This window comes from Homo sapiens, chromosome 5, assembly GCF_000001405.40.
Source record: "Homo sapiens chromosome 5, GRCh38.p14 Primary Assembly".
NCBI classification, from domain to species: Eukaryota; Metazoa; Chordata; class Mammalia; order Primates; family Hominidae; genus Homo; species Homo sapiens.
In genome coordinates, this window is record NC_000005.10 from 148,507,486 (window position 1) to 148,528,952 (window position 21,467).

The 21,467-nt window shown below is 37.9% G+C and overlaps 1 protein-coding gene and 1 long non-coding RNA gene across 8 annotated transcripts in view; one reads left to right on the plus strand and one right to left on the minus strand.

The window, feature by feature from the left end:
• The window catches only part of HTR4 (5-hydroxytryptamine receptor 4), a 203,496-nt gene that overhangs the window by 56,454 nt on the left and 125,575 nt on the right, over positions 1–21,467 (minus strand). For all 7 annotated transcript variants that reach the window (NR_104445.2, NM_001040169.2, NM_199453.3 and 4 more), the window contains 2 exons: positions 15,708–15,861; positions 1,971–2,539 (listed from right to left, as the gene is read on the minus strand). Coding sequence is in view for 6 of the 7 variants with exons in the window: in NM_001040169.2 (NP_001035259.1) it covers positions 1,971–2,539; positions 15,708–15,861 (723 nt within the window). In the remaining variant the exon portion in view is untranslated. The remainder of the gene's footprint in view (positions 1–1,970; positions 2,540–15,707; positions 15,862–21,467) is intronic.
• The window catches only part of LOC107986462 (uncharacterized), a 107,158-nt gene that overhangs the window by 54,656 nt on the left and 31,035 nt on the right, over positions 1–21,467 (plus strand). The window lies entirely within an intron of this gene.

Below are 21,467 nucleotides of genomic sequence, written 5' to 3' on the forward strand. Positions count from 1 at the left end.
CACGTTGTGGACATGTACCCTAGAACTTAAAGTATAATAAAAAAATAAATAAAATAAAATGGTAATTGTACTCATACCATATAAGTTTCTTCAAAAAAAAAAAAGAAATTTATGGAAGAAAATATGGAGTGTACATCCATATGCCATCTCTAAATTGTCTCTTTGCTTTACAATGATCCTGCAGATTACCAGACGCAGCAGGATTTTAACAATACATCTTATTTAGTAAAATAGGCTTTCTTGGGCTGCCCTGGAAACTCCCAAACTCTCTATGAAAAAAACCATCAACTGCTAAACAACTGACTTAGCAAATGTATTACCAGAGCATACGCTGTTTGTAAGTTGTCAACAGCCTGTACTTAGGCAACTGCTAGATTAAATAGCTAAAAACTATTTGGCACCCACACAGAAGTTCTTGTACACACACTTTATGGTTGAATTCTTTCTATGACACTCCTGAAGGCATAATAATTAAGAGAGAATGTCGGTTTCTAGGAGTATCCTTTGGGGTCTTTCCACCAGCTGAAACCACAACACCATGCTAGGCTTTAGCTACAAATCTGCCTACACTTGTAGCAAAAAATGGAATTCATGCTCTGAGCAGCCTCTGAGGCACAGGATTTATATTTTATAGCAATTCTTATTTTTCTTTTCTTCTTTTCTTACACATGCAAATGAAAATATCCCCCAATTTTCAGCCGCCAGAACAGCTGAATACTAATCATCATCAGAAAAATTAAATGCTTGTTTCAAAGAAGGAACTACTCCTTAGAAATTCCTGCGCATCTCAGGGCAAAGAAAAAAATGTCACTGGCAATCCTGTTTTGCTACAGGATGAATGTATTTATCACACATAGCTTTGCATAGCTGAGAACAATTCTAGCCCAGGGTGACCAGAAAAGTCTCAGGGTTTGGAAAGAGGTACCATAACTAGACACTGAACATTTAACTCCAAAGTCACTTCCACCTCCATCCACTTATGTGACCTTGGGGAAAAAAAATCGCTGGACCTGTCGGTATTCTCTTATATTTCATTTCCTTCCTTGTACTGTTCTATCTGCCTGAAATGGCTTCCCTGCCTTCTCCTCCATGTCTCAAATTCTTAGGAAATACTGTTCTGTGTTCTGTAAAGCCTTCCCTGAGCTTCTTAAGCCAAATCAGCTTCCTTTCCTTTCTACCCCAATTCTAGATTGCCCATACATCCATTATATCACATGGTATTACTGTTGTATATTTATTATGGTATTTATTTTAGTTTATCATGTTATTTATGGCCATATTAGGTTCTCAGGCACTACGTTATTACTATTGGTCCTAATATTAAATAAAACTTCTAGTACCATTGTGAGTGCTTACTGTATGTCATGCCCTATATGAATATATTATCTCTACTCATCAGAAAACACACATGAGATGAGAATTAACATTCTCATCTGTTTTAAAGGTGAGGAAAGTAAAACCAAGAGAGAGTATGCAGATGGCTAGTAGGAGCACCGAGAATCAAGACAAAACCTATTTTACTTTAAAATCCATGCTTTTAACCACTACTCTAAAGTAACACCTTTAAATAATAATAGATAACATTTACTAAATACTTGTTAAGTGTCAGGCTCTGTACCGTGCACTCCACATATACTAGCTAATTTGATTCTCATAAAAACTCTGTGATGTAGATATAGTGATTATTATCTTAAGTTTTTAAAAAATGAAATTGAGGTTAATAATGTTTAAACGACCTGCCCAAGGTCACAGAACTATGGGGACTTGATTAGAATTCAAGTCAATCTCCCTCCAGAGCCTGAGTTCTTAACCATTGCTGTATTCCATGACCAGATAGTAGAATCTTTTATAATCTTTGCAAACTCTATGCAGGTTTCAGGGATAACCCCTTTGGAAACAGAAAACTGGAGCATTACCCCTTCTGAGTAATACAAATCAACCAAATCAATGAACTCCCTTAGTATACTCACCTTAGTACATGTGTGGATCCATTAATGGTTGTGGTTGAACAAGGGACAGTCTGGCCCAGAATGGAAGGTCTTCGGTAGCGCTCATCATCACAGCAGAGGATGATGAGGAAGGCACGTCTAAAAGACTTATTCAAGAAGGCGTAGAGAAAAGGGTTCAACCCGGAATTGATATAGCCGAGCCAGAGGAAAGCAGTCCACACCTGCCCAGGGACAGTGTAGTCTATGAAAGGATCCACAATATTGGTGACAAAGAATGGTGCCCAGCAGAGGCAGAAGCAACCCATGATGATGCACAGGGTCTTGGCTGCTTTGGTCTCTGTCCTCATGCGATGAGTGCTATGCTGGTCTGCCGACTGAGGCCTGCTCTCGGAGGAGGCTCCTGCCCGTTGTAACATCTGGATCTGATGGGCATGCTCCTTAGCTGTGACATAGATGCGGTAATAGGCCAGCACCATGAGGAGAAATGGGATGTAGAAGGCCACCACAGAGCAGGTGATGGCGTAGGGCTTGTTGACCATGAAGACACAGTACGTAGAGTTAGAGTTCTGGTTGAACTTCCTCTTTTCTATCTGAGAGTTGGAGGGAGAGAGGAAATGAGGAAAGGAGGTAAAAAGGAAAGAAAAAGTGAAAAAGAAGTGGGAAAAATGGGGAAGAGTGTGAGAAAAGAAAAAGGGAAAAGGAAGAAAGTGGAGGATTGGAAGATAAAAAGAAGGGGAAGAGAACAAGGAAAGAAAATGGGAGAATAAAAGAGTAAAGGGGAAAGGAAAGAAAAGAAAGTTTATCAGCAAAGCTTTGGTTTTCTTATAAGCCTACAATACAAAGAACCTTGATGACAGAAAAGGAACATGATCATATCCCAGGGCCCAGAGAACTTATCTGTACAAGAGGAACTGAAGGCTCCAGGACAGAAGAGAAATAAAATAGAGACAGAATCATTTATTACATTTACCCAACCAGAAGTGAAATTCTGCCTCTGTTCTCCCTTCCCTGTCTGCTTGCACATAACAGATCAGTCTCTTAACAGAATGTCTGCAGATCAGTAACATTAGAGTCACCTGCAGTACATATTATAAGTGCAGATTCCTGCCCACTCCCTGCTGCCACCCCTCCACTCTCATCCCTGAAAGATCTACTAATTCTAAATCTCTGGGCAATGAAGCTCAGATATATGCATTTTAAGCAAGTTTTTTCCAATAACTCTAAAGCTCATTAATATTTGAGAACCATTGCTCTATACTGTGCTAAACTTAGCTCTTTGGGGGATGCCATGGGGCACTTTTCTAGAGTCATTTCTCTACGTATTGAGTTCCCTGATGAAGGTTTGTCTCATTTAGATAACACAGAGTAACACAGAGTAACAGCCTGTGTTATAGTGTAACAGCTTGTGTTTTAGTGTAACAGCCAAGAGGGGCCTTAGGGCTTGGGGGAAAGAAAGGGTAGATATTTTAATGGAAGAAAAGAATATAAAGATTGGGTAGGGCAAGGTCATGAGGGACTTTGGAACCCAACCAGAGTTAGAACCTAGACAACACTCAATGCTTCAACTTACTCTCCTCCCAGTCTCTCCTGAACCCACTCCATTTAGGTGTTCACCCTAATCACTCCATTGAAAATGCTCTGGTCAAGGCTATCAATGACCTCTGTGTTGCCATTCCTCCTTTTAAATGAGCCATCTACACCTTTGACATAGCTGAACCTTCCATCCTTCTTCTTTTTTCGAATATTTTATTGAACCAAAATACGTATAAAGTACATAAAGTGTATATACAGATGAATCAATTATTACATAGTAAATATGCCTGTGTAATTATTATTCAAATCAAACTATAGAATATTATCAACAACCCAGCAGCCTCCCAAATGCCTTCTCCTAGTCATTAATATGCCCAAACATAGCCACTCATCTACATCATCATAATGTAATTTTATTTGTTTTCCAACTAAGTATCAATATAATAATAAAACACACAATCTGTATCTTCTTTAATATTGTATCACTCACATTATTGCATGTACAGGCAGTTTATTCTTTTTCATTGTAGTATAATATTGCATTATAGGAATAAACTACAATATTACATATTCCAATATTGACAGACATTTGAGTCATTTTTGGGTTTGTGCTATTTTGCATAAAACTGTTATGAATATTCTTGTGGAAGTTTGTGTGTGTGTGTGTGTGTGTGTGTGTGTGTGTGTGTGTATTTTCATCTCTCTTAGGTATATACCCAGGACTGAAATTGCTGTATCATAGCTTGGGTATATACAGCCAAACAGTTCCCAAAGGGACTGTATCAATTTATATTTCCACCACGAGAGCAGGAGAGTTCCAGTTACTCCACATGCTCGCCAACATTTGGAATTTATTGTCAGTATGTAGTGGTATCTCATTGTGGATTTGTTGATGATGTTGGTAAAGTTTATTTGATTACATAAGTAAAATACTCCATGTGTTTTTGACTCTTTCCATTGGTTTAGATTAGGATTTGTCTTATGTTTTGTTACTGAAAAGTGTCCTGGGCATCCATATCCACATAATTATAGTACATTGACATCACTCCTTTTGGAAAGCATGTGAGACTGAGTTTCTGCATCTGTTTCCTGATTAGCACTCTGGTTCCTTCAATGGGACGAGAGCATTGCCTTCAGAATGGTAAAATATTGCCTAGATCTTGTCAGTCCCAATTCTTGCAGCTGTATCTTCAGTTTCAATCTGAGTAAGTCACCTCAAACTCTCAGTGTGCCCTGGTTTCTGCATCTTTGTTCCCTGTTTACTATGTCCTGGCTATTTCATTGTAATTTTGAATTAAATCCAATAAACTTGAATCAAATCTAAGTTTATTACAACCCTTCAGTTTCTTATTGCAGTTTTACTGTGCATCTCCTGAGAACTAATAATGTTAATCACTGTTTTGCCCTTTCGATATCCTGTCTTTTGAATTGATTATTCAGGTATTTTCCCATTTTAAAAATTAAGTTGTAACTCTCTTTCTTATTGATTTTTAATATAATAGTTCTTTTATATTCTAGATGTCTTTTGTCAGATTTATGTGTTGCACATATATCACTCTGTGGCATGGCTTTTCACTCTAGTATCTTGTGATAGAAAGAAGCTCTGAAAGAACCTATACTTTTGGTTAGTACTTGTATCTTGTTTATGAAATCTTTGTTTACTCCTAAGTATAAAGATACTGGCCGGGCGCGGTGACTTACATCTGTAATCCCAGCACCTTGTGAGGCCGAGGTAGGCAAATCACTTGAGGCCAGGAGTTTAAGACCAGCCTGGCCAACACGGCAAAACACTGTCTCTATAAAAAAATACAAAAATTAGCCAGGCGTGGTGGCAGGCACCTGAATTCTAGCTCCTAGGGTGGCTGAGGCACTAGAATCGCTTGAACCCGGGAGGCAGAGGTTGCAGTGAGCTAAGATCACGCCACTGCACTCCAGCCTGGGTGACAGAGTGAGACTCAGTCTCAAAGATATTGTCAAGAGATGTAAAGACATTCTTTTACATGATCAGTTAGCATATCTTTATTGTGTTAATTTTTATGTCTTTTTTTTTTACAGGGTCATGCTCTGTCACCCAGGCTGGAGTGCAGTTGTGCTCACTACAACCTCTGACTCCCAGGCTCTAGCAATTCTCCCACCTCAGCCTCCCTAGTAGCTGGGACTACAGGTGTGAGCCACCACCCCTAGTTAATTTTTAAATATTTTTTGTAAAGACAGGGTTTCATTGTGTGGCTCAGACTGGTCTCAAACTCTAGGCTCAAGCTATCAGCCCATCTCAGCTTCCCAAAGTGCTGGGATTACAGGCCTGAGCCACTGTGCCTGACCAGTTTTTACATTTAATGCTTCTACCCACCAGAAATTAGTTTTTCTGTATGGTATGATGTACAAGATATGGATATTGAATTGACCCCTGCAGCATGTATTGAAAGGATTATCTTTTCCTAGTTGCACTGCAGTGTAAACTTGGTCATAAATCAGGGGACTGTATATGCATATGGCTCCACGTTTGGATTTCCTATTTGTTCTCTTGAGTTGTCTCTCTCTGCATGTACTGCTTTAACTTCTATAACTTCATACATCTTAGACATCTAGTTATAAAAGTCTTTGAATTGTGGTTTCTTTTCTTGAAGACTCTTGGATAATGTTTTATCTCAGTATTTCCATATAAAATTTAAATTAATATCTCAATTTCTATAAAAATCTTCTAGGATTTTGATTGGAATGAGAGTAAAATGATTAAGGGAAACTGACATCTTTACAATGTTAAGTCTTTGAATTAATTAACATGGTAATTCCTTCCCTTTGTCTTTTTAAGTATATTTCAATAATACTTTTTAATTTTATAATTTTCTTTGTGTCTTGCACATCTTTTGTTAGATTTGTTTCTAAGTATTTTATGCTTTTACTCTGTTGTAAATGGTACCATGTTAAAATCCTGATTCCTAATTGTTGCTAATATGTAGAACTTGGTGAGGATTTTTATTGTAAGCTGGCTATGTATTCAGCAACTTTGCTAAGTTAGATATCAACTAAAATTCATCTTTACATTCTTTTGAATTTTCTCCAGGAAATACTCATATGATCTGCAAATAATGGCAGTTACATTTTTTTCTCTTTCCAATCCTAATATCACTTTCTCTTGCTTTATTGAGCTTGATAGGGCCTCCCATCTAATTTTGAATAAAAATGAGAGTAGTTGACACCTTGTTTCACTCCCAGTTTTAGGGGATGAGCCTTCAATAATTTACTAAGTATGATATTTGCTATAAATTGTATGTCAATGCCCTCTACTTGGTTAAGGAAACTACATTCTATTCTTGGTTTGATGAGATTTTTAAAAAATCGTGAATGGGTATTGAATTTTGTCAAAGCATTTTTGGCAGTAACAAAATGAACATGTGGGTTTTCTCCCCTTTTTTTATTGATGCAATGAATTACATTGATTGCATTACAATTCCTGGAATGTCTTATTTGTACTGGACCCTGTGACACACTAGTATTTTTCTTAAGGATTGAAGGACATTTCCACCAACTATAAACACTGCCTGCTGACAGGTCTTAGTCATCAACCTTCTCTAGAAATAGCTCTTGACTGAAGAGAACTGCTTAACCCAATGTCACTTACCCTTCTTGGGATCAATCTGCATCCAGTGTGAATATACACATGCATGAAGATATGAAGAATAGACACCTATATGATATACTCACAAACATGCTATTTTATTCCTGTACATATTCAGTATCTTGTTTTATAGACTATTATAAGGTTATCATGTATCATCCTCTTGAATTGATATTTTTATCATTATGAAATATTTCTACCTCAAGAAATATTATTTTCCTTAAATTTTATTCTATCACTAATAATAGTAGAGTAACACCAACTTTCCTTGACTTATCACTTGCATAGTGTATGTATTTCTATTTTTTTATTTTCAATTTTTCTGCCACTTTATATTTAATGGTCCTCTCTTACAAGCAGCATATATTTGTATTTTGTTTTGATGCAGTCTGACAACTTTGTCTTTTAGCATCTATTCTTTAAATAATTTAATATTTACTAAAATTGCAAATTGATTTACATTTGTCTATAATCTTACTGTTATCTATTAATCTTTTCTGTTTCTTGGTTCCTTGTTTCCATATTTATTGCTTATTTTCAGAATAATACCTGTTTGTATTAACACATTACCTCTCTCCCTATTAGCTTATTGGATATATATTCTTTTATTATCTTTATTTTAGGGGCTACAACTCATTACAGTCTTTTTCATACATTTGCCATTTCCTTGGCAATGCAAAGATCCCAAACAGCCCATGCCCCACGCCTGCCTTTTATGCTATTGTTTTCATGCATTTTAATCCTACATATATTTGAAAACCCACAAGACATTAATATTATTGTTATTTTAATAGTCAACGTTCTCTTACACTATCCACATATTTATCATTTCCAGTGCTCTGCACTCTGTCCTGCATTATGGTGTTTCAATCTGGGATTATTTTCTTTTTGACTGAAAAATTCCCATAAAAGTCACAATACAAAAACCTGATGTGGAAAAATTCCCTTCGTTTTTGTTTGCCTGAAAACGTCTTAATATCATCTTAATGTTTAAAGCATATTTTCATTGGGTATAGAATTCTAAGTTGTAGATTTTCAACATGTCATTCCATTGTCTTCTCACTTCTTTCATTTTATTGCATGGTCAGCTGTAAGTCTTATTTTCCCTGTTAAGTTTAATTTGTCATTTTTCTCTAATTACTTTTGAGATTTATCAACTTGTCTTTGATTTTCAGCAATTTTTTAAATGAATTTTCTAGATATAGTTTTCTTCTTTATTTAACCTGCTGGGGTTTTGTAGAGTTTCTTGAATCTCTGACTGATGGCTTTTATCTTTTTGGAAAATTCTTAGGCACTATTTCTACAAATATTACATCTGCCCCATTCTCTCTCTCTGAATTCAAATAGAATACTGATTACATGGATGTTAGAACTTTTTTGTATTATATATATATGTAACATATATATATATACACATATACATATATGTATGGACACACACACATATATTCTGATATGATACATATATATACATATATATCAGAATGGTCTGTAATAAAATTTTATCCATTTATCTCTATGTGCTTCAATCAATATTTTATTACAAGGTTATGGTATAACATCCTCTTGAATTGATATTGTTATCATTATGAAAAAATGATATTACCTAAATTCCAGTTTACTACAGGTGTTCTCAGATATGTCAAATCTACTATTAAATTTATCATTATACTTATTTATTTCAGTGTATTTATTAGTTGCAGTATTTCCATTCAATTCCCCCCTCTTTTTTTTTTTTTTTTTTTTTTTTTGAGACTAGGTCTTGCTGTGTCACCCAGGCTGGAGTGCAATGGCACAATCTCGGCTCACTGCAACCTCCACCTCATGGGTTCAAGCGATTCTTCTGCCTCGGTCTCCTGAGTAGCTGGGATTAAAGGCACATTCCACCATGCCTGGCTAATTTTTGTATTATTAGTAGAGATGGGGTTTTACCATATTGGCCAGGCTGGTCTTGAACTCCTGACCTCATGATCTGCCCGCCTTGGCCTCCCAAAGTGCTGGGATTACAGGCGTGAGCCACCGCACCTGGCCAAAAATTCCCTTTTTTTTTTTGTAGATGCTCCTTATCTAATTACTCCATTATCTAGATTGCCTATGAGACTGTTTCTCTTGTCTTTCTGTGTTCATGGTTTTTGGCCATTTAGTCTTGCTTCCTACAGGGTCTGGTGACTTAATTAAAGGACACACATTGTGTATAAAAAAGTACAGTTGCTCTGGATGGTAGTAGCCTATTCCAGAAATAATTTAATTTTCTTCTGGCAAGCAGATAGAATATGAAAAGAACACCTCAATCATGTTTAGGTTATGTTTAATGCATTACTTTCAATGGCAAAAACCACAATTACTTTTACACAGACCTTATATGACTCAGTAAAGGCCCCAAAGGAAATAGTAGAGGTCTTCTTTTTCTTTTTGAGAGTGTAGCTACTAAGTCTTATTTGTCTTGGTTACTTTCCAATCTTTCAAAGAATATTTTACTTAATCTTCATATTTTGTATTTAATTCAGTATGTTTTATTTAGCTTTGATAGTCATGCTTATGACAGTTCCCGCCTTATCTAGAACCCAATTCTCTCTCCTTCCTTATAATATGTTTTAAGGCATATTTGCTTCCAAGACAATTTTCTCTTTCTTTGTTTTCTTCCTCACTGGCTGTTCCTTCCAACTGTCCTTTACTGCCCTTCGTTCCTTAGACCTCTTCTATTCTGTATCTACCTGCATTCCTCAGGTGATTTCATCTAGTCATATGGATTTAAATGGCATCTAATCTTTGAGAATGGTCCACTTTTTTTTTTCTTTCTGATCGGGACCTCCTAGGAACTGCAGAATTTGATATCAAGCTCCTTACTGGACATCTCCAATTGCATATCTAATAGGTATCTCAAATAAGTAAAAAAGCCAAGTGTTTGACTCTCCACACCCTATAAACTTACACACAGTATTCTCATCTCGATTGATGGTTACTCACTCTAATCTTCTAGTTGCTCTGTCCAAAATTTTGGGTCATGTTTGGCTTAGGTTTTCCTTTCACATTCCTCTTCTAATTTTTCAAAAAAAAAAAAAAATCCTGTTGGTTAAATCCTCAAAATAGATCCAGATTCTAAATTACAATCTCGATTGTTATCACTGAGGTTGGAGTACCATTGTCTCTCACCTGTCAGATTACTTCAATAGACTCCCTTACAGTCTGCTTTTTAACAGAAAAACCAGAAAGATTCTTTAACAATATAATTCAGGTCATGTTACTCATTTGCTCAATACTCTGCAATGGCTTCCCATTTTCCTCATAGTAAAAGTCAATGGTCTTAAAATAACCTGAAAAGTCCTACACGATCTTTCTCCTATATATTTTTTTTTACTTCCTCTCCTACATTTCCCTCCCTCATTTACTCTGCAACAGCCACCCTAACCTTGATATGTTAGGAATATTCTACCATAGCACTTTGCACTTGCTATTTTTCTGGCCTGGTATATTCTCCAAGATATCCACAAGTACAACTCCCCAACCTCCTTAAAGTTGTAACTGAAACATCACCTTCTCAATAAAGCCTAGTTTAACACCCTATTTAATATTACAATCTGCTATCCGGTTCACCTGCTTTTTCATAGTACTTACCATCTCCTAACATCCTAGATATCTGCTTATTTTTAATCTCCTCTACTTATTTTCATCTCATCACTTATTGTCTGCCTCTCTTTGTTAGAATATAAACTTTACAAGGATGTGGGTCATTGTCTATACTGTTCAATAATGTACCCTAAGCGCCTGAATTAGATTCTCAAATATGGTTGGGGCTCGATAAATAATTAATTATAGAGCAAAAGAATATGTAAAATCTGACAATTTCTCACCACCTCAAATTGCTATCATCCTAGTCCAAGTTAGCGTTAGCATCATCACTTGCCAGGATAATTGTAATTCCTTCCCAAAAGTTTTCACTATTTTCTGCCATTCCACAGTCATTCTCTATAGAGTAGCCAGAATGATTCTTTTAAAACATAGGGCAAATAATGTCATTCCTCTCACCCAAACCCTCAAAAGCTTCTTCTATCACTCTGAGTAGCCACAGTCTGACTCCAGGCTACCTCTCTGACCTCTACTTTTCTTACCAATTTCCTCCTTGCTCACTGCTGTCTGTAATCTTCTAGGCCATTCCTTGAACTACCCAAGCATGCTCCCACTCCAGGGCCTTTATGATTATTGCAATTTTGTTCCAAAACACTTTTTTTCTTAGTGCTTACATGACTTACTTTTCCTCTTCCTGCAGGACTCTGCTCCAGCAATATTTTATTAAGGAAGGTGAATGTCATGTGTAAATCACTCACTTTTTACTTGTTTTTGTGTGTGTTTTTTTAAATAAAATGTAACACCTGAAATATATCGTACTTTCTCCTCACTAGATTTTAAATGCCATATGAACTGAAATTTTTTTTACCATTAATTTCTCAATTGCCTATGGAACATAGTGGGCATTCAATTATTTCTTGAATGAATAAATAAATAAATAGTGCAGCCATTACGAGCTTAGACTTTGAAGTCGTATAATTCCCTTTATAAAATGAATATTAAACATAGTAATATTGTGTTGGTTAGATGATATTGAAACATGTGAAGAATTTAGTATATTGTCTATAAATATTTAATAAATGGTAGTGATGATGGAAAGAGAAAGCAGGGTCTAGGTTTGGGAACATAAATGAGAAAATTATTATGTGAACCCTTTGAATTTTTAGGTGGTTTCTTTCCCATTATGTTAACAACCCTGCATTGGGTTGGTGTGGTTACCAATTTGTAAAATTTGGGGATGGATTAGGACATTTCTAGCAAGCTTAGCTTTAAAAGCACAGCTGATTCCATTGAGCAAAGGAAGAAAGTCCCTGGAGTAGGTTTCTGCCTTGGGCATCTGTACTTGCATGTATGTGTAGGTTTATATGTGTGGGTATATAGCTGGTCATCATTAGGCATAGATTCCATATTTGTGAGTTAATCTACTCATTAGAATTTATTTGTAACCTCCTAAATCCCCCAAATCAATACTTGAGTTGCTTTCACAGTGTTTTTATGGTCATTTGTAGACATGCATGTGCACAAAGCAGTGGAAGCATTGTTTCCTGATAGGTGTGTTTCCAGCTGAAGTCAAACAAGGCAATGCTCTATCATCTTGTTTCACTTCAACAAGTGTCCTTTTTGCTATTTGCCGGCACATATTTTGCATTGTGTGCTTTTTGATGGTGATTTCATGGTTTAAAATGGACCCTAAGTGTACTGCTGAAGTGCTGTCTGGTGTTTGTAATTGCAAGAAGGCTGTGATGTGCTTTACAGAGAAAATACATGTTTTAGATAAGCTTCATTCAGGCATGAGTTATAGTGTCTTGTCCATGACTGCAATGCTAACGAGTCAACATATAAATTAAATAGGTGTTTTTAAGCACAAACACACATCAAACAAGGTTATGCATTGATTGGCTGATGAAAATGTTGTGACCAGAGACTCACAGGAACCTAATCCTGTGTTTTCCCTGGAAGCAAAGATTCAGTATTTACCAATTCAGTGTTTGCAATGACTTTATAGAATTTAATTGCCGCCAACAACATGACCATGTGGATTGTGCTAGCTTCTCTCTAGGCAGGTTCAGTGTGCAAATGAGTGGACAGATATGAATATTAGCCATGTTAACAATAAACAGATGCTCCATTTCCCATTTAGGTGAATTAGGGTCCATTTTAAACCGTGATTAAAATTAAATAGGCAATCCCTTTGGCTCATTCTAAGTGAACAAAAACTTTCTGGGTTGTTTTCTTTAGAAATTCTACTCAGGAGGTAGAAGTGCTGATCCCTCATCAGAAGTTCCCAATGCACAGAAGCATACACTTCCAAAGATCTTCTCCATTAGGGAATAAGTTTAGCATATAAATTAAGAGCACAGACTCTGGAATCCAAAGCCCGGGCTCAGATACAGTCCCCACTACTTCCTACCAATGACTTTAGTGAATAATCTCCCTGATCCTCTGTTCGCTGATCTATAAAATGAGGATAATGATAGGATCTACTTCATAATGTTGTTGTGAAGCCTAAGTGAGGTTCCCAGGAATAATGATTAACAGGGGGCTTCATACATACATAGTAAGTGTTCAACATTCACTGGCCATTATTATTCTTGGAGTAATAATAATGGTTGAAAATTTGGATTTCATTTCCTCCAGGAATGGTGAAACTGACAGTTTAAAATAAATTGGATAGGATTCAAAAAATGTCCATGCAGTTACACTTCTAATTCACTCTTCTGCCTCCGGCATTTCTTTCAGAATCCTAAGGAATACTTGTTCTGACATACCGCATGAAAATCCTGGCCCAGGCCTTGGTTTAGACTCCTTTCCTTGAAAAAGAACAAGGCAGGACTAAGGGCTAAGAATGCGGTGAAAAGAGGAAAGGGCAGCTCCCTGTCTTGAGGGTCCTGTTGCTCTTAATCTCTCCTCTCCACTCCACTTCCCACATCTCGATGTATCCGGGGACCACTTCTACAGCAAGTGCCTGACAACTTCCTTATGGAATATATATCCCTGCTAAAGAATCCAGATCATAGATTTTGATCTTCATTGTAAGTTTAGTATGTCAAAGCTGGAGGACTCTTAAAGGTTAGTATCTAGACAGAATGAGATGGTTAATTTTATGTGTTAACTTGACCAGGCATGGGGTACCTACACATTTAGTCAAGCATTATTCTGGGTGTGTCTTCGAGGAAATTTTTGGATGAGATTAACATTTGAATCAGTAGACTGCCTTTCCCAATGCAGGTGAACCTCATGCAATCCATTGAAGGCTTGAATAGGAGGGAACTCATGCTGCCTTACTGCCTTCAAGCTGTGATATCAGTTTTTCCTGCCTTTGGACTCAAACTAAAACATTGACTCTCCTGGGCTCTAGTGTGCCGGCATTTGGACAGGAACTACACTATTGGCTCTCCTGGGAGTCTAGCTTGCTGACTGTAGATCTTGTTACTGGTAAACATCCATAATCACATGAACCAATTCCTTACAGTATCCCTTTCTCTCTCTCTACACAAACACACACACCCATTAGTTATGTTTATCTGGAGAACCAATACACAGGGATCGGAATAATGCCTGGCATATGTTGCATGCCCTCCTAGATCCCTGGTAGACCTTCTTCTCCATTGAGAACCAATGGATCTTCTCATCACAGTGCTTCAGGAAATGAGACAGTTCAGAGCTGGGCTCAGGGCTTAGTTCTCTCAACTTCTAGCCTGGAGCTGTCTTCATTCCCCAGCAGCCTCTACCCACATGACATATTTTCTTCAGCTCCATGTCAGCTGATACAGTTTGGCTGTGTCCCCACCCAAATCTCATCTTGAACTGTAGCTCCTCCCATAATTCTCACTTGTTATAGGAGGGACCTGGTGGGAGATAACTGAATTATGGGGGTGGTTTCCCCCATACTTTTCTCGTGGTAGTGAATATGTCTCATGAGATCTGATGGTTTTATAAAGGGGAAACCCCCTTCGCTTGGCTCCCATTCTCTCTTGCCTGCAGCCACGTAAGATGTGCCTTTTGCCTCCTGCCATGATTGTGAGGCCTCCCCAGGCATGTGGAACTGTGAGTCCATTAAGCCTCCTTTTCTTTATAAATTACCCAATCTGGGGTTTGTCTTTATCAGCAGTGTAAAAATGGACTAGTACATCAGCCTTATAGACTCTCCACATAAAATGGAATAAAGACCTTTTGGGGCAAATGACATGCCTCAGGCATGTCTAAGCAAAGTCTAAGCTTTGAATATTTGTTCGCTTATCTACAAGCTGTGTGACATTGGGCATGTTACTTAACCTTAACCTACATAAGCTTGTGAGCCTGGGTTTTCTCATCTGAGAAATGGGGGAAATAACTATACTTTCCCCATAATGAGGTTTTCAAGATTATATATAAAGTATTTAGCATACTCTCTGGCATACAGGCATGTTAAAGAAAAAAATTATTCATGACATTTGTTAAAGCAGTAAAGCAGACTTTATTCAGGACTATCAACATAGGTTATAGGGACTACTGTGATGGGGTTTTGTAGTAGAAGAGAGAGATTGAAATGCAACAAGGGAAAGTGGAAATTTATAGCCAAACAGCATGGTGAGTGGGGGTTAGTGGATGGAAAATTACCAATAGAAAACATCAGGAGTAAGAGAGGATTCTGGCTAAACAAACCTAGCAGGGCTCTTGCTGAAGACAGGCCAAGGTGATCATACATCACCTGGGAGATGGTGGAGGGTGAAGAACCTAATCAAATATCAAGGGTGGGGGATTCTGGCTATACCAACTTAGCAAGATTCTTGCTAAAATTGGGTGATGCAAAAACAGACATAGAAGTCCAAAAGTCAAGACCTAGATGGGACAAGGATTCAGAAAAGTCTAACTAAAGTTGGGTTAAGGAGAGGAGTTTTGTCAGTAAGCATTCAAAAGTGTTAGCTTTAAAAAAAAAAATTATCACCCAGACCACTATCAGATTCTTAGAATACTCAATCTAATATTATTTATTCATTTAGGAACCCCATGCAAAGTTGATCAGACAGTAAACCAGTGAGGTCTGTGTGGATACTCACCAAATCAATTATGCCAATGTTATTCCAGCCTTGCATTATAGGGAGAAAAGAAATAAACGTGGGGATGACCCAGCAGCCTCCCAGCATTAATGCGATGCGCAGAGGGGTCATCTTGTTCCTATAGACCAAAGGCTGGCAGCAGATGGCGTAATACCTGGAGAGAGAATAGAGGGCAGAGCATAGGCATGGGCAAGGAGGAATGGGAGGGAGAGAAAAGAGAATATATGAGAGAGAAAAGGGGAGGAAGAGGGGATGGAGCAAGGGATAGAGAACAGCAAACATTGAGGAGAAGAGTCGGAGGGGAAGCAGAGAATAAAAATAAGGAAATAAAAGAAAGAATACAGGGTAAAAAGAGGAGAGCAAGTGGCAGAGGAAGGGAAAAAGAAGGAAGAGAGAGAAAAGAACAGAGGAAAGGAAAAGTGATTATATAATACAACATGATATACTGGCCTGTGAGTTTCTGTTAATATAAATATTAATATATACTTTGGATCACATCTGAGAATCATTGCCTGCAGTTGGCCCCACAGTCCTCTCCATCTCCCAATATCTGGAGGAGCTCCACACACACCAGAAGGTCTTTTCTATTTCTGGCACTGTTCCAACACTATCCCGATGCCTGTGCATTGAGGAGCCTCTGCCCAGCCCTCTGGGCCTCAGTATCCAGGCAACTGTAATCTATTTGATTACAACTTGAGGTGACCCAGGCATAGCTCTACATCTGGGCTCTAACCACTGTGTCTCAGATTTGTCCCCTTACCCTTGATCACCTGCCTACATGGAAGTGGAGCTCTAAGTCCGTGTTTTTTTTTTTGAATTGTGGTTCAAGGATTCCCCTCCATCCCCCCATCCCTGCCATGCTGAATCAAACTCACCTGAGGAAGCCTTTTTAAAATGCAGATCCCAAGGATCTCCTGAATCAGAGCCTGTTGGTGAACAACCTGGAGCTTGCATGTTGACAAGTGTGAGTTATTACTAAGTGTGAGTTATTGTTAAGGATACTCAGTTTCCTCCTTCCAAACACGTACACTTCTTGGCATCCTTACGGCTGGATAGGACCAAGGGACTAGTCCTGACCAATGAATCATGAACAGAATTGACATGCATCACTTCTGGGACAAACCATTTAACTGTTTCTGGGATACTAAGAATGTAAAATTTTGAATATTTCCTGCTCCATCATTTCCTGTCTACTGGATGAGACCACCCCACTTCCATTTATTAGAGTCTGACCTCTCTCATGGGACACAGTGCTCACTATCTTTTGATTCCATGTTCTGCCTATGATACTAACTTTCTTCCTGCCTCCAGAAAGAGGTACAATCTGCCCATTCAACAGTCTGGCCTCTAACTTCTAGACCGTTCCTGCATGTTACTCTGGCCTTGGAGATCACCTCTTCCATGCCCAGGCATGGCATGGAATTTCACAACAGGCAGAATGCTACAGTAGATCTATCATTCATTTCTCTTTGGGAGAGTACAAAATAGAAATGCAAAAAGAGCCTGGAGGCTGTCTATTCTTTAAGGTTTTATACCATTTAATGATGAACCACCCTCATACACCCCTCATTTTATGCAGTTCACTTTGTTAATTTTTCCCACCTCTTCTTTTCTTTTCTTAATTCAAAGCCTAACTAACAAAACAATGGCTATATTCTTTGAAGAGGTGGTAGTAGGATGGGTTGAGAGAGAGGGTGGAATGAGGAGAGCCCCGTGTTGGAGCACGAGGAGCAGGTGCCTCAGGAGCAGGGAGAGGAGAAATACCCGCTTTCCTACAAGGCACTGAGGAGCAGCTGACGACATTGTGCCAAAAGCTCCTTGTAGCTGGCAAGCTTGGTGGGGTGTCCTGATCTGGGCCAGAGTGCAAGAAACAACAAATCAAAGAATGGGAGACTGTCTTGCTCCGAAAAACCATTGTCTCCATTATAATTCTGACATGGCTGCAAAATCAAACTAAAGATAACTCAGTCATTGAAAGAATCATGATTAGCTGGATTCCCTCCACACTGTTGGCTTACAAGAAAGACAAATTATATCTGAGTAGCAAATTTTTCTGAATGGTGATATTCATAATCATCAGAGGTTTATTATTAACATAGAATTAATGATGAATTTGAAGTGGATGAAATATACTCTTTTTTTTTCAAATTTTGTTTCCTTCTTGATTTCCTGTTAGGGGGCAAGTTTCTTTCCATTTAGCATCCTTCTTCCTTTCTCTTGTTAATAGCACTTCAAATCCTTCGGGAGTTATCTCTTTGCTGTTGCTATAGTGCTGTTGGGAAAACAAATGATGGGGCTTTGACTTTTCTAGCCTAGGGGTGACCCGATCAGACTTTCTCCTAGGACTCAATGTCCTGCAGAGGGATGCAAGGTGGGCAAGTCAGCAGAGGGCTTTTTATCTCAGCAGCAGCCCCCTGGTAGGGCTGGGGATTCATTCCTGCTCCTTGGATCTTTTGCAGCATGCTCTTACCCATCAAGTCCTCACTCCTTAGCTCTCTCTTTAAATAAACCACCTCATATATTTCCAATAAATTCTCTTTTTGCTTAAGCTGGTGTCATGGGTTGAATTGTGTCCTTCCTCTTCCAAAAGATATGTTGAATTCCCAACTCTCAGTAACCTTGGAATGTGACCTTATTTAGACATAGGATTTTAAAAGAGGCAATCAAATTAAAATGAGGTCTTCAGGGTGATCCTGAATCCAATGTGACTGATGTCTTTATGAAAAGAAAAATTTTGACACAGAAACTGATATGCACAGTACGAAGGTGGCCATGAGAAGATGGAAGATTGGAGTGATGCGTCCATAAGCCAAGGAACACTTAAAGTTGCCAGCAACCAGCAGAAGCCAGGAAGAGGCAAGAAAGAATCCTTCCCCTACAAGTTCCAGAGGGATAATCGCCCTATTGATACCTTTATTTCAGACTTCTAGCCTTTAGAGCAGTGAGACAACAAGTGTGTATTGTTCTAAGCCATCCAGTGTGTGGTACCTGTTATGACAGCTTTAGCAAACTAATACAGTTGGCTAATAACAATCTCTTGCTTGCAAGAAAAGTATACCACTTCACACAGAGCAGTAAAACTGGCTTGAATGCCAGATATATCTTTCATAGTATACTTAAGTAAGAATATCTTTTGTTTCATTCAATATACTTTCAGATCATAGCTCAAGTTTTGGCATCCTTTCTTCTATTATCCCAAAAAGGCAATAGAGGGATAAATGAAGAATGAATTCTGCCCTATCTTTGTTGTGTAATCAATATAATTTTTGAGGTTTAGAATGAGGTGCCGAGATGTTGCCAAGTAAAGAGCAGATTTCAGAAATTTTGGTTGGATCTCTAACGTCACAAAAATCCAAAAGTTCAAAAACACAAGGCCAAATTAAGTATCCTATAGGACACTGTTCACCACAACCAAGGTATGGAACCTACCTAAGCATTTATTAGTGGATAAATGAGTATAGAAAATGTGGTATATATATACATGATGGGATATTATTCCATCATAAAAAAAATAAAATCCTGTCATTTCCAGCAGCATGGATGGAACTGGAGGACATTATGTTAAGTGAATAAGCCAGGCACAGAAGGACAAATATTGCATGTTGTCCCTCATGTGAGGGAGCTAAGAAAATTGATCTCATGGAGGTAAAGCATAAAATGATGGTTACCACAGGCTGGGAGGGGTAGTATGTAGGGGGAGTATGAAGAGGGGTCAGCGAATGCATACAAAAATACAATTAGATAGTGGGAATAAGATCTAGTGTTTGGGCAGCACAAGTGGGTAACTTGTTAACAATCACTTATTGTATCTTTCAAAATAGCTAGAATAATAGATTTGGAATGCTCTCAACACAAAGAAATGATAAATGTTTGAGGTGATGGATATCCCAACTACCCTGATTTGATCACTACACATTGTATGCTTGTATCAAAATATCACATGTACCCCATAAGTATGTACAACTATTATGTACCCATAAAATTTAAAATATTTTACATAAATAAATAATATCTTGCAGGACAAAAAGTACGTTTCAGAAAGCAGGATGTCTTACCTGAGAAGATTCTTTGATTTCCATAAATGGATGTGGATGTTTAGAGGGTTATGTTGGGAAAATAATAGAATTTACAAGAGGGCTTTAGAATGTATGGTTATATTGGTGCTCATAACATTTTTATGAAAGCCTTTCTTTCTAAATCTAGCTTGCCCAGGGCTATTGCCAGTTTCCCTTGACATAATGATCATCCCATGAACAATAATATTGCCCTACATTCTGTTGTCCAAATGTTCTATGCTTTAATTTGCCTTACCCTAGATTTCTAGGAGCTGCTGCTATATAGAATTAAATAGTGGTAACAGGTTTCCTTTTAAAATTCAACTTAAAGGAGGATACTGTGAATGTAGTACACATTTTACCAATCCCTTACACATTTTTTAATTTGAAACAGAATCCTGTTCTGTTGCCCGGGCTGAGGTGCTTATGTGATCTTGGCTCACTGCAACCTCCGCCTCCCAGGCTCAATTGATTCAGCTGCCTAGCTTCCTGAGTAGCTGGGAATACAGGCGTGCACCACCACACCCAGCTAATTTTTATATTTTTAGCAGGGACAGGGTTTCGCTATGTTGGCTAGGCTTGTCTCAAATTCCTGGCCTCAAGTGATTCACCCGCCTTAGTCTCCCAAAGTGCTGTCATTACAAACATGAGCCACCACACCTGGCCCCCTTACACATTTTACATATACAGTCAGTTCCCTGGAAAATGCTTGCCAGAAGTAAAGTGCTTGGGCAATAAGCCCAACTCGAAGGGTGCTAAGGTGGAATACATCCAAACATGCCCAAACACAGATGTAGAAATTTGCTCTTGCAGGATCTAGGGTGGTTAGGCAAGGGTGGGAAGAATCCTTTATCTCCTTTTTTAAAATTATCAATAAGTAAAGGGGGAAAAAGGATTTTATTTTACTTAAATTTAAATTAGGTTAGGTAGATTGTTAGTGACAGGTAAGGATATGAATAAGAAAAATACTGAATTATGTCTAGGTATATGTTTTACTTGCATTTTGACCTCTGCAGCTTCTTCAATGTGGTCCTCTGTCTTACAGTAAACATAATTTGATTTTTGAGTGGGATTGAGTATAGAACATAAGGTTCTTATTTGGAGCTCGAATTCTAGCATCTACTTAACTTTATGTGCTGAAGATTCACACCAAGACCTGGCACCTTTGAGGCAGCAGCCCTAAATAAGTCACCTCATATCCTTCCAATGTCTTTCTGATCTTTGCTTTCGAGCAAAAAATCTAGAAAAGTAAACATCCTCTGAAGGCTGGACTCAAGAATGCAAATTAAGTAGGTGAAAAAAAAATCACTGAATAAAGGGATTAATAAAAATTGAGTTCTAGTGTTAACCGATGGTGCTTCCTTAAAATTTTAATATTTGTCTGTAGATAAGACTAGATAGAAATCTGATAACTTGACTTTTATATATTGCAGTTGATTTTCAGTTCCTATATTTGGATTATAATGTCCCCGTTAATAACAAAAAGGAAACTGACCTATCATGAACTATTCCTGCAACACATAAACACCACCACTAGACAGAATTAGCTAATTAAATTTGCAAGTTCTTTGGAGGGAGGTAAGGCAAAATGCACTGGCTGGTTTGATAATAATAGCTAGTATTTATTTACTGACCAAGGGCTCTGCTCATTTGATCTCATTTAATCCGCACAACTATTAGATTGGTGCAAAATAATCGTGGTTTT